Here is a 13,121-nt window from a genome sequence, read left to right as displayed (position 1 = left end):
CATAATTCCAAATTTTGTTTCCTGCATAATTAAGAGACAAATACATTAAACAGAACATAAATCGTCTATGTTTTCAGACACACAATATAAGATGCATAAAGGTTTAATTTTGTGACATCAATAACTGAAAAGAAGTGGAGTCAGATATCTATAGGAGCAGAGTTTTTGTATGTTATTGAAGTTAAACTGATATAAATTAAAATTAGAATGCTATAAGTTTGTTGTAACTTTGGGATGTTAAATGTAAAAAGAAAATGGCTATAAAATGTACACAAAGGGAAATGAGAAGGGAATTAAAATGTTTCACTGCAAAAGTTAACTAAATATAAAAGAAGATAACAATGCAGGAAAAAAGGGACAAAAAACCACAAGGCAAATAGAAAACAAATTGCAAAATGACAGAAGTAAATGCCTCCTTATCAGTAATTACTTGAAAGGTAAATGGATTAAACTCTCTAATCAAAGGCAGAGGTTGGCAAAATGGACTTTAAAAACCATGACCCAACTATGTACTTTCTATAAGAGACTTACTTTAGATCCAAAGACACAAATAGGTTGAAAGTAAAAGGATATAAAAGGATCTTACATGCTAATAGTAACACAAAGGGAGCAGGATTGGCTCTAGTAATTTCTGATAAAATAGACTTTAAAATATTCGCAAGAGACAAAGAAGGACATCATGTATTAATGAACAGTTAAATTTAGCAAAATGATAGAAAAATTATAAACATTTGTACACATAATAACCTACAGGCCACATTTGGTAGGCTTTCAAATTAACCATCTGTGAAGATCTTATGATTCATGGCTTACATCCTGTCCCTGAGTAAAGACTCTTATTGTGAATCTCTCAAATCTTATCATGAGTAGCTCAATCTGTTGACATTATTTTTAATATGTAATCTACTCATAATGAAAAGGACACTAGCTTGTTTCTAAATCATAAGCTTTTGCTGATTTGTTTCTGAATCATGAAGTTTTATGAATTGTCTTACATGTAGAATATTTTACCTTGTATTTTTTTTTGTTGTTGTTGTTTTTTGAGATGGAGTCTCGCTCTGTCGCCCAGGCTGGAGTGCAGTGGTGTGACCTCCGCTCACTGCAAACTCCACCTCCCAGGTTCACGCCATTCTCCTGCCTCAGCCCCCACGAGTAGCTGGGACTACAGGTGCCCGCCACCACGCCCGGCTAATTTTTTTTTTTGAATTTTTAATAGAGACGGGGTTTCACCGTGTTAGCCAAGATGGTTTTGATCTCCTGACCTCGTGATCCGCCCGCCTCAGCCTCCCAAAGTGCTGGGATTACAGGCGTGAGCCACCGCGCCCAGCCTAGCCTGTATCTTGTAACCTGCAGCCAATGTTTGTAATCTCTGTATCACACCCTGCAATGAAAAAGGGCAACTCTGACATAAGAACTCCCCCTCCCTTCTCCTAAATTTTCTTATAAAATCATTCCAACTTGTAGCAGGCAATAAAGCTATAAAACTCTTAGAAGTCAAATTCACAGGAGCAGAGACTAGTATGGTGGGGGAGGGGTGTGAGTTGGGGGGATGTTGGTCAAAGAATACCACATTTCAGTTAGATAGGAAGGATAAGTTCCAGAGATCTATTGTACAACATGATGACTATGTTAATAACAATGAATTGTATACTTTAACATTTCTGAAAGAGTAGATATTGAGTGTTCTCACCACACAAAATAAGAAAACTATGTGAGGTAAAATATGCATTAGTTAGCTTGATTTAGCCATTCCACAATGTATTCATATTTCAAAACATCATGCTGTACACCATAAATATATACAATTTGTATTTGTCAATTAAAAATAACTTAGAAGAAAACATAGGACAAATTCTTCCTGACATTGGGTTTGGCAGTGATTGTTTAGATATGACACCAAAATAACAGGCAAGAAAAGGAAAAAAACCCAGAAAATTTGGTTTTATAAAAATTAAAAATTTTATGCACCCAAAGACACTTGAACAATGTAAAAAGGCAAGCCGGGCATGGTGGCTCACACCTGCAATCCTAGCACTTTGGGAGGCCGAGGTGGACGGATCATCTGAGGTCAGGAGTTCGAGACCAGCCAAAACCCCATCTCTACTAAAAATACAAAAATTAGTCAGGTGTGGTAGCGCATGACTGTAATCCCAGCTACTAGGGAGGCGAGGAAGGAGAATCGCTGGAACCTGGGAGGTGGAGGCTGCAGTGAGTTGAGATTGCGCCACTGCATTGCATTCCAACCTGGGCAACAGAGCAAGACTCTGTCTCAAAAAAATAAAAATAAAAAAAAGTAAAAAGGCAACTTACAACAAAGGAGAAAATATTTACAAGTATGTCAGATAAGGGATTAAAATCCAGACTATGTAGCGAGAACTACTGCAACTCAACAATAGAAAAACTAACCCAATACAAAAATGAGCAAAGAACTTCAATAGACATTTCTCCAAAGAAGATATACAAATGGCCAATAAGCATATGAAAAGATGCTCAGTATCACTAATCATTAGGGAAATGCAAATCAAAACTATTATGAGATACCACCTTACACCCATGAGGAAATACTTAAGAACTAACTTCACCAAGGAAGTGAAAGACTTGTACAATGAAAACTACAAAATTTGCTGAAAGAAATAAAACATTAATAAACGGAAAGAAAGCTACTATCAAAGAAAAAAGAAAGTAACAAGTGCTGGTGAGGATGTGAAGAAATGGAAACACTTCTACATTGTTAGTGGGAATATGTAATGGTGCAGCCTCTGTGGGAAACAGTTTGGTGGTTCCTCAAAAAAGTAAAAATAAAATTATCATATAATTTAGCAATTCCACTTCTAGGTATATAAAAGTATGGTCTCAAAGAAATATGTGTACACCCATGTTTATAGCAGTATTATTCACAATAGCTAAAAGGTGGAAGCAACCCAAGTATTCATTGATGAATAAAAGAGTAAGGAAAATGGAGTCTATACATACGATGGGATGTTATTCGGCCTTTAAAAGGAAGAACATTTTGACACATGCTACAAGAACATGAACCACAAAGGTACCACATTAAATGAAATAAGCCAATCGCAAAAAAGTCAAATACAGTATGATTCCACTTATTTGAGGTACTTAGAGTAGTCAAATTTATAAAGACATAAGTAGAATAGTAGTTGCAGGGGCAGAGGAGAAGGGGAATGAACTTTATATTAATGGATATAAAGTTTCAGTTTTGGAAGATGAAAAGAGTCCTGGAGATGGATGGTGGTGACAGTTGTACAATAATATGAATGGCAGTTAATAACACTGAACTGTTTACTTAAAATGGTTAGATGGTAAATTTTATGTTGTGTGTATTTTACTGCAATTTAAAAATGGAAAAAAATAGCCATCCTAATAGGTTTGCAATGCTATGTCATTGTGGTTTTGATATGAATTTTCTGGATTAATAATGATGTTGAGCACTTTTTCATATGCTTGTTGTTCACTTGTGTATCTTCTTTGGAGAAATGTCCAGTTGAGTTCTTTGCCCACTTTTTATTGGTGTTGTTAATTTTGTGGTTGATTAGTTGCAGGAGTACTTTACATGCTCTAGATACTAAAACCTTATCAGATATATATTTGCAAATATTTTCTCCCATTCTGTACTTTTTTAAACTTTCTTGATAATGTCCTTTGATGCACAAGATTTTTTAATTTTGATAAGTCATATATATCTATTTTCTTTCTTTCATTGATTATGCTTTTGGTTTCATATCTAAGAATCCATTGCCAAATCCAAGGTCACGAAGATTTACCCCTGTGCATGTTTTAGGATTTTTATAGTTTTAGCTTGTAGATTTAGGTGTTGATCCATTCTGAGTTCTTTTTTGTATATAGTGTGAGGTAGGGATCCAAATTCGCTCTTTTGCATTTGTATATCCAGTTGGCCCAGGACCATTTGTTAATCAAACCACTCTTAAAAATATTTTTACCCCTTTTCTGTAATCCTGAACTGAAATTCCCAGAGATGATAATCTGCCAACATGTGTATATTCAACAAATTCAATATAATACCTAATCATAATATAATGAGAAATGAAGGTAGGTACTTTATAATCAGGGCTATGTAATTCAACATATAAATGCTCAGGAACAGCTATACTAGAAGACTTGAAGTGCTTGTATACTTGCACTGAAACATAGAATGACCGTAGACCAATCTTTTATAAGCACTCAAAATTACCATCGGTGATGCAATTTTCCGAAACAAATAACTCTTGATTAGTAAACAAAACACAATCTTTCCTTAATTTATATAGCAGTTGCATTAAATGAATTTTAACATCATGCAAAAATACATTGTTTTTATATAAAACAGAGTAAGCTTAGATAACTAAAGACTATAAAAAGGCTTTTCACTTCCACAAGGATCCCATCTACATGATTGCACATCTGAGAATTGTGCAAAATGCAGTACAATTTATCATGCATTGCTGTTCCACTTGCTGTAGAATATATTGCATCCTTGGCATTTTTAAACTAAATATGGCAATATTCACCACCCCACCACAAACTAAGACAAAAACACTCTCACTCATTTTCAAACACCCCACAATGTTTCGGCCAAGATGGTGTTTTCCAGGTTTCTCCACTGTAAAATTACTACTTTTCCGCTTATAATGAATAAATATTTGAGGGGAAATACTTTGACACTATGCAAATATCCTCTTTCTTTTTAAACTTGTGCCCATTAATTTTAGCATCCATTAGCATATCTTGCCTGCAGAAATTATTTCTTTTATGTTCTCATGGTGAATTTCTTTTTCCTTTTCCTTTTTTTTTTGAGACAGAGTTTCGCTCTTGTTGCCCAGGCTGGAGTGTAATGGCGCGATCTCAGCTCACCCTCGCCCACCGCAACCTCCACCTCCCGGGTTCAAGCGATTCTCCTGCCTCAGCCTCCCGAGTAGCTGGGATTACAGGCACGCGCCACCACACCTGGCTAATTTTGTATTTTTAGTAGAGACGGGGTTTCTCCACGTTGGTCAGGCTGGTCTGGAACTCCTGACCTCAGGTGATCCACCCACCTCGGCCTCCCAAAGTGCTGGGATTACAGGCGTGAGCCGTGGTGCCCAGCCTAATGGTGAATTTCTATACCCATCATTCCTTCTACATTTAGTAATGGGAGTGCTTCCTTAAAGAGTTTTCTGGCTGGGCGCGGTGGCTCATGCCTGTAATCCCAGCACTTTGGGAGGCCGAGGCGGGCGGATCACGAGGTCAGGAGATTGAGACCATCCTGGCTAACACGGTGAAACCCTGTCTCTACTAAAAATAGAAAAATTAGCCGGGCATTGAAGCGGGCGCCTGTAGTCCCAGCTACTCTCTCTGGAGGCTGAGGCAGGAGAATGGAGTGAACCCGGGAGGCGGAGCTTGCAGTGAGCAGAGATGGCACCACTGCACTCCAGCGTGGGTGACAGAGCGAGACTACCTCTCAAAAAAAAGAAAGAAAGAAAGAAGAAAGAAAGAAAGAAAGAAAGAAAGAAAGAAAGAAAGAAAAAGAAAGTTTTCTTGGCTGGGAGCAGTGGCTCACACCTGTAATCCCAGCACTCTGGGAGGCCGAGGCGGGCGGATCACGAGGTCAGGAGATCGAGACCATCCTGGCTAACACGGTGAAACCCCGTCTGTACTAAAAATACAAAAAAATTAGGTGGGCGTGGTGGCAGGTGCCTGTAGTCCTAGCTACTCGGGAGGCTGAGGCAGGAGAACGGTATGAACCCGGGAGGTGGAGCCTGCAGTGAGCCGAGATGGTGCCACAGCACTCCAGCCTGGGCAACAGAGTGAGAATCCGTCTGGGGAAAAAAAAAGAAAAAGAAAAAGAAAGAAAGAAAGAGTTGTCTTTTCTCTCCCTTTTATTTACTTATACAATCACTTATTTATGTCCATTTGATTCATAAATATTCATTTTATTCTTTGGGTTTTAATCCAGTACTATTGTTATTTATTTTGTTACTCAAATTGTTCCAGATTTGGCCATAGAGGGCTCCTTCAGGCTAGCTCTTCTGTTCCTTTGATATGCCAAATCCTCTACCACAATTTTCTTGTCTTAGTACTTCCTTATTTTCTGGCACCACAAGATTCTCCAGGCTTATCTTGAAGAGCCCCTGCCTCAGCCCTGGAATGAACCACTTCTACAAGGCACCCCAGTTCTTTTTATTGAAGAATCATATTCAGAAACCAAGATCTGTGCACTAGATGTGTTCATTGCTACTGGAGTGTCACTGGTTTTTGAGAGTCTCAGCAGACAGAGCTGTGGAATAAATGTATGAATACTAAACCATGTGAAAATATACATCTGTATCTATCCATCCATCCATCCATCCATCCATCTGTTAAACCGTGTGTTCACATTGATACTTCCACAGGGTTTGTAACTTTTTTCTCTTACAGTGATAAATCTGACTCATTATCTGCAATAGATTTACTTATTTGTTTAACCCTAGATGCATGTAAAATAGCTTCGTAATTGCTAACTGATATGGTTTGGATGTTCTGTCCCCTGCATCTCATGTTGAAATGTGAACCCCAGCGTTGGAGGTGGTGCCTAGTGGGATATGGTCTGATGATTATGGGGGTGAATCCCTCATGAATGGCTTACTGCCATTACCGTAGTGATGAGTGAGTTCTTGCTCTTAGTTCATGTGTCAGCTGGTTGTTTAAAAGAGCCTGGCATCTCTCTTGCTCCCTCTCTTGCCATGTGACATGCTGGCTCCCCTTTGCCTTCTGTCGTGTAAGCTTCCTGAGGCCTCACCAGGAGCAGATGCTGGTGCCATGCTTCCTGTACAGCCTGCAGAACCGTGAGCCAAAAAAGCCTATTTTCTCTATAAATTTCTCAGCCTGAGGTATTTCTTTATAGCAATGCAAACAGACTGATACAATAATCTATACCTATAAGGGGATATTTTAAATTTACTTCTGCTCTTATAATTTGTTAAACTTTATAAAACAACCTAAGATGACAGCACTGAAGGAGATGTATAACTGTTTCCAATTTACAGATAACCAAAGGTCAAAAGAGTTAACATAACTTCCCTAAGGTTAGACATAAAGGCCTGATTCCAAAACTCATGTTCTTTTCTTTAAACAAAATAGAAGTAGAACTAACCCTTCTTCCAGATGAAATCTTACGTAAAGACTCAGTATACAAAACTATTAAAATTAGAACTTTTCTCATTGAGAGAAAGGTAGATGCCTTCCCCAGGATGGTGCTGAGCCGCCTGAGAATTCTTACATTTCCAAGAAACACTACAATATATTTCCATTTTTGATGAAACTCATTTTCTTAGAATAACTCTTTAAGTCCAGGCATTAATAAGCTGTGATTACAAAATGAAGCAAAATTTACATAATGACAATATGACAATGGCTTAAGTCTTCATGCCCCACTTACCACCCAAGTTAAAACTTACAATGACCCTCCTGAAGATGACATTTCTAGTGGCTCCCAAAGCTAGCTGCTCTGACATGGGTTCTAACTCTCTCTCTTTGACCTCTTTTGACATCTGAGTCTAGGAGCTCTGTTGGTGCCTGGGGTCTCACAAAGTCTGTAACATCTGTAATAAAGAGTCCCATATTAGCCTCTGCCCTTCTTTGTTCACCCTATTACCAGGAGTTTCACAAAGTCTCATGAAAAGTTTTTAGCCCTTATCCCTTCAATCCTAAAATATCAAATCCAGTGGAAGTGTTTGCTTTGGGAGAGACATCAGGATTTTCATTCAAATAAAGCACCTCAGTCTCTTTCTAATTACAAAGACAAAGCTCCTATACTAATGCAAACAAACACAGATAAAGGGTGGTATGTGATGGGGAGAGAAATGTAGCTTGGATCAGCAGTCTTCAAATTATTATGCAAAGACCCAGGAGCTTAAAGCCATTCCAGGGGAGGAGGGTTTAAAGAAATGACAATATTTTCATCCTTTATAATGTGCCATCCCCTATAATTAATCTGCCCAGAACAACCCGATGATGAGAGGTAGCTCCTTTTCCTTCTTCCTTTTATAATTGCCCTTCTTCATATTTACAAAAGAAATACATAACTTCCACCTGACCAAATGATGTGTTAATTGCCCCGAGGTATAAAAATCTTAAGAATGCTGAACAATAGAATAATTGAAAATATTGATTGTTTTTGTCTTGGGAAAATAAATGATTCTAATGGCTAAGTAATGAATCATTTTGCAAGCCAGTAGGTTTCCAATTCTTTGCTTTCAAGAAAATTTAAAGAAAATCTAATAAAGTTATCATGAATAGATCACAAATTAAAAAATATTGTATTATGAAAATTGTCAAGCGTACAAAAAAGTAGTGAGAACTTATAAGGAATCCATACAAGCCCATGATCTAGTTTCAAAAGTTATCAACATTCTGACACTTTTGAAAAAATATTTGATACTTGACTACTGTATAAATTTTGGCATATATTTGGAAAAAAATTCAGAGTCATCATTGTTATTTACAAAAAGAAAACCTTCAACTCCCATTTATTTGTTTATGCAATAGAATTTCTTGGAGTTTACATCTAAAAAAATGGAAAATAGAATTGATGCTAAACTCTGTCTCATTTTAGGATTATATTAATGCATGAATATATGAATTAATTAAAAACAGAAGGGCCCAGCTATCTAATTAAAGGTTATTTTACAATAAAGTTTTACTTTTTATCGTCAATAGTTGTTTGTCAAATTAGTAATATATTTATGTTGCTTTAATCAACCATTTACCTCGAATTATTGTGATAACATCATAAGCATGTAATCTTGATCACAGAAATTTAACTTTTGAAAATTTTTTATTTATACTGCCTTTCCTTGCAGAGAAGTTTGATGAGGTGATTAACAACAGAAACACACTTAGGTGTATGGCCCACAGATCCTATAAAGCAAGTACTCAATGGAAACTACAAAGCAACTAGTTAACAACTTCATCATGGGAACAAAACTTCACATATCAATACTATCCTTGAGGCGGGGCACAGGCCGGAGTCCTGACCTCCCAAATCAATACTAACTTTGGGAGGCCAAGGTGGGCAAATCACCTGAGGTCGGGAGTTCAAGACCAGCCTGGCCAACATAGTGAAACCCCGTTTCTACTAAAAATACACAAATTAGCTGGGCATGGTGGCGTGCACCTGTAATCCCAGCTACTCGGGAGTCTGAGGCAGGAGAATTGCTTGAACCCGGTAGGCAGAGGTTGCAGTGAGCTGAGATCACACCACAGCCTGGGCTATAGAGAGAGACTCCATCTCAAAAAGAAAAAAAAAAAAATACTAACCTTGGATGTAAATGGCCAAAAAATCCCACTTAGAAGTCACAGAGTGGCAAGATGGATACACAAACAAGACCCAGCCATCTACTGCCCTCAAGAGATCCATCTCATATGTAATGACACCCACAGGCTCAAAGTAAAGGGATGAAGAAAGATCCACCATGCAAATGGAAATCAGAAGAAAGCAGGGGTCACTATTCTTAGATAAAACAGACTTTAAACCAACTACAATATAAAAGGACAAAGACAGGCACTACATAATAATAAAGGGTTCAATTCAACAGAAGAGTTAACTATCCTAAATATATATGCATTTAACAATGGAGCACCAGATTCATAAAGCAAGTTCCTTTAGACCCACAAAAAAACAGACAGCCACAAAATAATGTTGGGGGATTTCAATGCCCCACTGATAGCATTAGACAGATCATCAAGGCAGAAAACTAACAAAGAAATTCCAGACTTAAACTCAACACATAACCAATTAGAACTAATAGACAGCTACAGAATGCTCTATCCATTAACCACAGAATATACATTCTTCTCATCTGCATACGGGACATACTCTAAGATCGAGTACATGCTTGGCCATAAAGCAAGTCTCAAAAAATTCAAAAAAGTGAAAATCATGTCAACCATACTTTTGGACCACAGTGGAATAAAAATATAAACCAATACCAAGAAGATCTCTCAAAACCACAAACTACATAAAAATTAAACAATTTATTCCCGAATAACTTTTGGGCAAAAATGAAATTAAGACAGAAATCAAAAAAATCTTTGAAACAAATAAAAACAGAGACAAAATCCCTGGGATTCAGAAAAAGCAGCTTTAAGAAAAGTTTATAGAGTAAAATATTCACATCAAGAAGTTAGAAGGGTCTCAAATCAATGATCTAACATCACAACTAGAGGAACTTGTAAAAATAAATACAAACTTACCCCAAAACTAATAGAAGAAAAGAAACAACTAAAATCAAAGCAGAACTATACGAAATGGAGATCCAGAAATTCATACAGGGAATCAACAAAACCAAAAGTTGGTTATTTGAAAGGATAAACAAAATTGATACACTGTTAGTTAGATAACCCCCCCCCAAAAAAAAGAGAGAGAGAGAGAGAGAAGATCCAAATAAGCACAATAAAAAATGACAAGCATGACATTACAATTGATCCCAAGGAAATAAAAAGATGCTCAGAGAGTATTATGAACACCTCTATGCAAACAAACTAGAAAATCTAGAGGAAATGGATAAATTTCTGGACACACACAACCTCCCAAGATTAAATCAAGAAGAAACTGAAACACTGAAAGGGACAATATTGAGTTCCAAACTTGACTTAATAATTAAAAAAATCCTACTTACCAAAAAAGAGCCCTGGACCAAATGGATTCACGCCAAATTCTACCAAAAAAGAGTTGGTACCAATTCTACTGTAACTATTCCAAAAAATTGTGGAGAAGGGGTACTCCTCCTAACTCATTCTACAAAGCCAGCATCACCATGATACCAAAATCTGGCAAAGACATAATGAAGAAAGAAAGTTACAGGCCAATATACCTGATAAACATAGATATAAAAACCCTCAATAAAATACTACCAAACGAAACCCAATAGCTCATCAAAAAGTTAATTCAGGCCAGGTGCAGTGGCTCATGCCTGTAATCTCAGCACTTTGGGAGGCCGAGGCAGGTAGACCACCTGAGGTCAGGAGTTCGAGACCAGGTGGGCCAACATGGTGAAGCCCCATCTCTACTAAAAATACAAAAATTAGCCAGACTTCATGGCACATGCATATAGTCCCAGTTTCTCAGAAGGCTGAAGCATGGGAACTGCTTGAACCTGGGAGGCAGAGGTTGCAGTGAACCAGGATCTCACCACTGCATTCCAGCCTGGGTGACAGAGTGAGACTCTATCTCAAAAAAAAAAAAAAAAAAGTTAATTCACTTTGATGAAGTGGGTTTTACCCTTGGGATGTAAGGTTGGTTCAACATATGCAAATCAATAAATGTGATTCACCACATAAACAAAATTATAAACAAAACCTATATGATTATCTTACTAAATGCAGAAAAAACTTTCAATATAATCCATGATTAAAAACCTCAACAAACTAGGCATCAAAGGAACATACTTCAAAATAGTAAGAGTCATCTACAACAAACTCACAAGCAACATCATTCCGAGTGGGTAAAAGTTGGAAGCATTCCCCTTAAGAACTGGAACAAGACAAGGATGCCCACTCTCACCAATCTTATTCAACATAGTACTGGAATTTATAGCCAGAGCAATCAGGTAAGAGAAAGAAATGAAAGTCATCCTATAGGAAAATGGGAAGTCAAATTATCTCTCTTTACTGATAATACAGTTTTATACCTAGAAAACTAAAGACTGCCAAAAGGCCCCTAGAACTGATAAATGACTGTATTAAAGTGTCAGGTTACAAAATCAATGTATTAATACAAAAGTTAGTAGCATTTCTATACACCAATAACATTTAAGCAGAGAGCCAGATCAATAACACAATCCCATTTACAATAGCCAAAAATAAATAAATAAATAAAATACTTAGGAATACTTGTAGCTAATGAGGTGAAAGATCTCTACGAGGAGAACTATAGAACACTGCTGAAAGGAATTATAAATGGCAGAAACAAATAAAAAAAAAATCCCATGCTCAATATCATTAATATGGCCATGCTGCTCAAAGCAGTCTACAGATTCAATGCTACTCCTATCAAAATACCAAGGTCATTTTTTTTATGGAATTAGAAAAAAAAATTACTCTAAAATTCATATGGAACCCAAAAAAGCCCAAATAGCCAAGGCAATCCTAAGCGAAAAATAACAAAGCTAGAGGCATCACATTACCTGACTTCAAACTATACCATAAGGCTACAGTAACCAAAAAAGCATGGTACTGGTACAAAAACAGACACACACACCAATGGAACAGAATACAGAAACCAGAAATACAACTGCATACCTACAACCATCTGATTTTTGACAAAATCAAGAGAAATAAGCAATGGAGAAAGAACTCCCTATTCAATAAATGGTGCTGAGATAACTGACTAACCATATGCGGAAGAATAAAACAGGAACGCTGCTTTCACCATATAAAAAAATTAACTCAAGATGAATCAAAGATTTAGATGTCAGACCTCAAACTATAAAAATCCTAGAAGAAAACCTAGGGAATACTATTCTGAACATGGGCCTTGGCAAAGAATTTATGGCTAAGACCTCAAAAGCAATTGCAACAGAAACAAAAAGTGACAGATGGAACCTAATTAAACTAAAGAGCTTCTGCGCCGCAAAAGAAACTACCAACAGGGTAAACAGACACCCTAAGAATGGGAGAAAATATACACAAATTATGCATCTGACAATGTCTCATATCCAACAATGTCTAATTTATAAGGAATGTAAAAAAATAAACAAGCAAAAAACAAATAACCTCCCTAAAAAGTAGGCAAAGAACGTGAATAGACACTTCGCAAAAGAAGACATACAAGAGGCCAACAAACATGAAAAAATACTCAACATCACTAATCATCAAAGAAATGCAAATCAAAACCAAATGAGATACCATCTCATACCAGTCAGGATGGCTATTATTAAAAAGTCAAAAAACAATAGATGCTAGTAAGGCTTCAGGGAAAAGGGAATGCTTATATTCCGTTGGTGGGAACGTAAATTAGTTCAACCACTGTGGAAAGCAGTGTGGAGATTTCTCAAAGAACTCATAACAGAACTATACCATTTGACTCAGCAACTCCACTATTGAGTATCTACCCAAAGGAAAATAGATTGTTCTACCAAAAAGACACATGC

The 13,121-nt window shown here is 37.0% G+C and overlaps 2 annotated features.

Moving 5' to 3' along the window:
- Positions 7,301-7,856: an enhancer, noted in NCBI's record as "OCT4-NANOG-H3K27ac hESC enhancer chr13:32238163-32238718 (GRCh37/hg19 assembly coordinates)". NCBI's record gives its function as "activates a minimal SCP1, AML or CMV promoter by ChIP-STARR-seq in naive and primed H9 embryonic stem cells {active_cell/tissue: H9 hESC(naive and primed)}" and the evidence as "EXISTENCE:reporter gene assay evidence [ECO:0000049][PMID:30033119]".
- Positions 7,857-8,414: an enhancer, noted in NCBI's record as "OCT4-NANOG-H3K27ac hESC enhancer chr13:32237605-32238162 (GRCh37/hg19 assembly coordinates)". NCBI's record gives its function as "activates a minimal SCP1, AML or CMV promoter by ChIP-STARR-seq in naive and primed H9 embryonic stem cells {active_cell/tissue: H9 hESC(naive and primed)}" and the evidence as "EXISTENCE:reporter gene assay evidence [ECO:0000049][PMID:30033119]".

Source organism: Homo sapiens, chromosome 13 (assembly GCF_000001405.40).
Source record: "Homo sapiens chromosome 13, GRCh38.p14 Primary Assembly".
Classification (NCBI taxonomy): Eukaryota; Metazoa; Chordata; class Mammalia; order Primates; family Hominidae; genus Homo; species Homo sapiens.
This window is presented reverse-complemented; position numbering and strand designations above follow the sequence as displayed.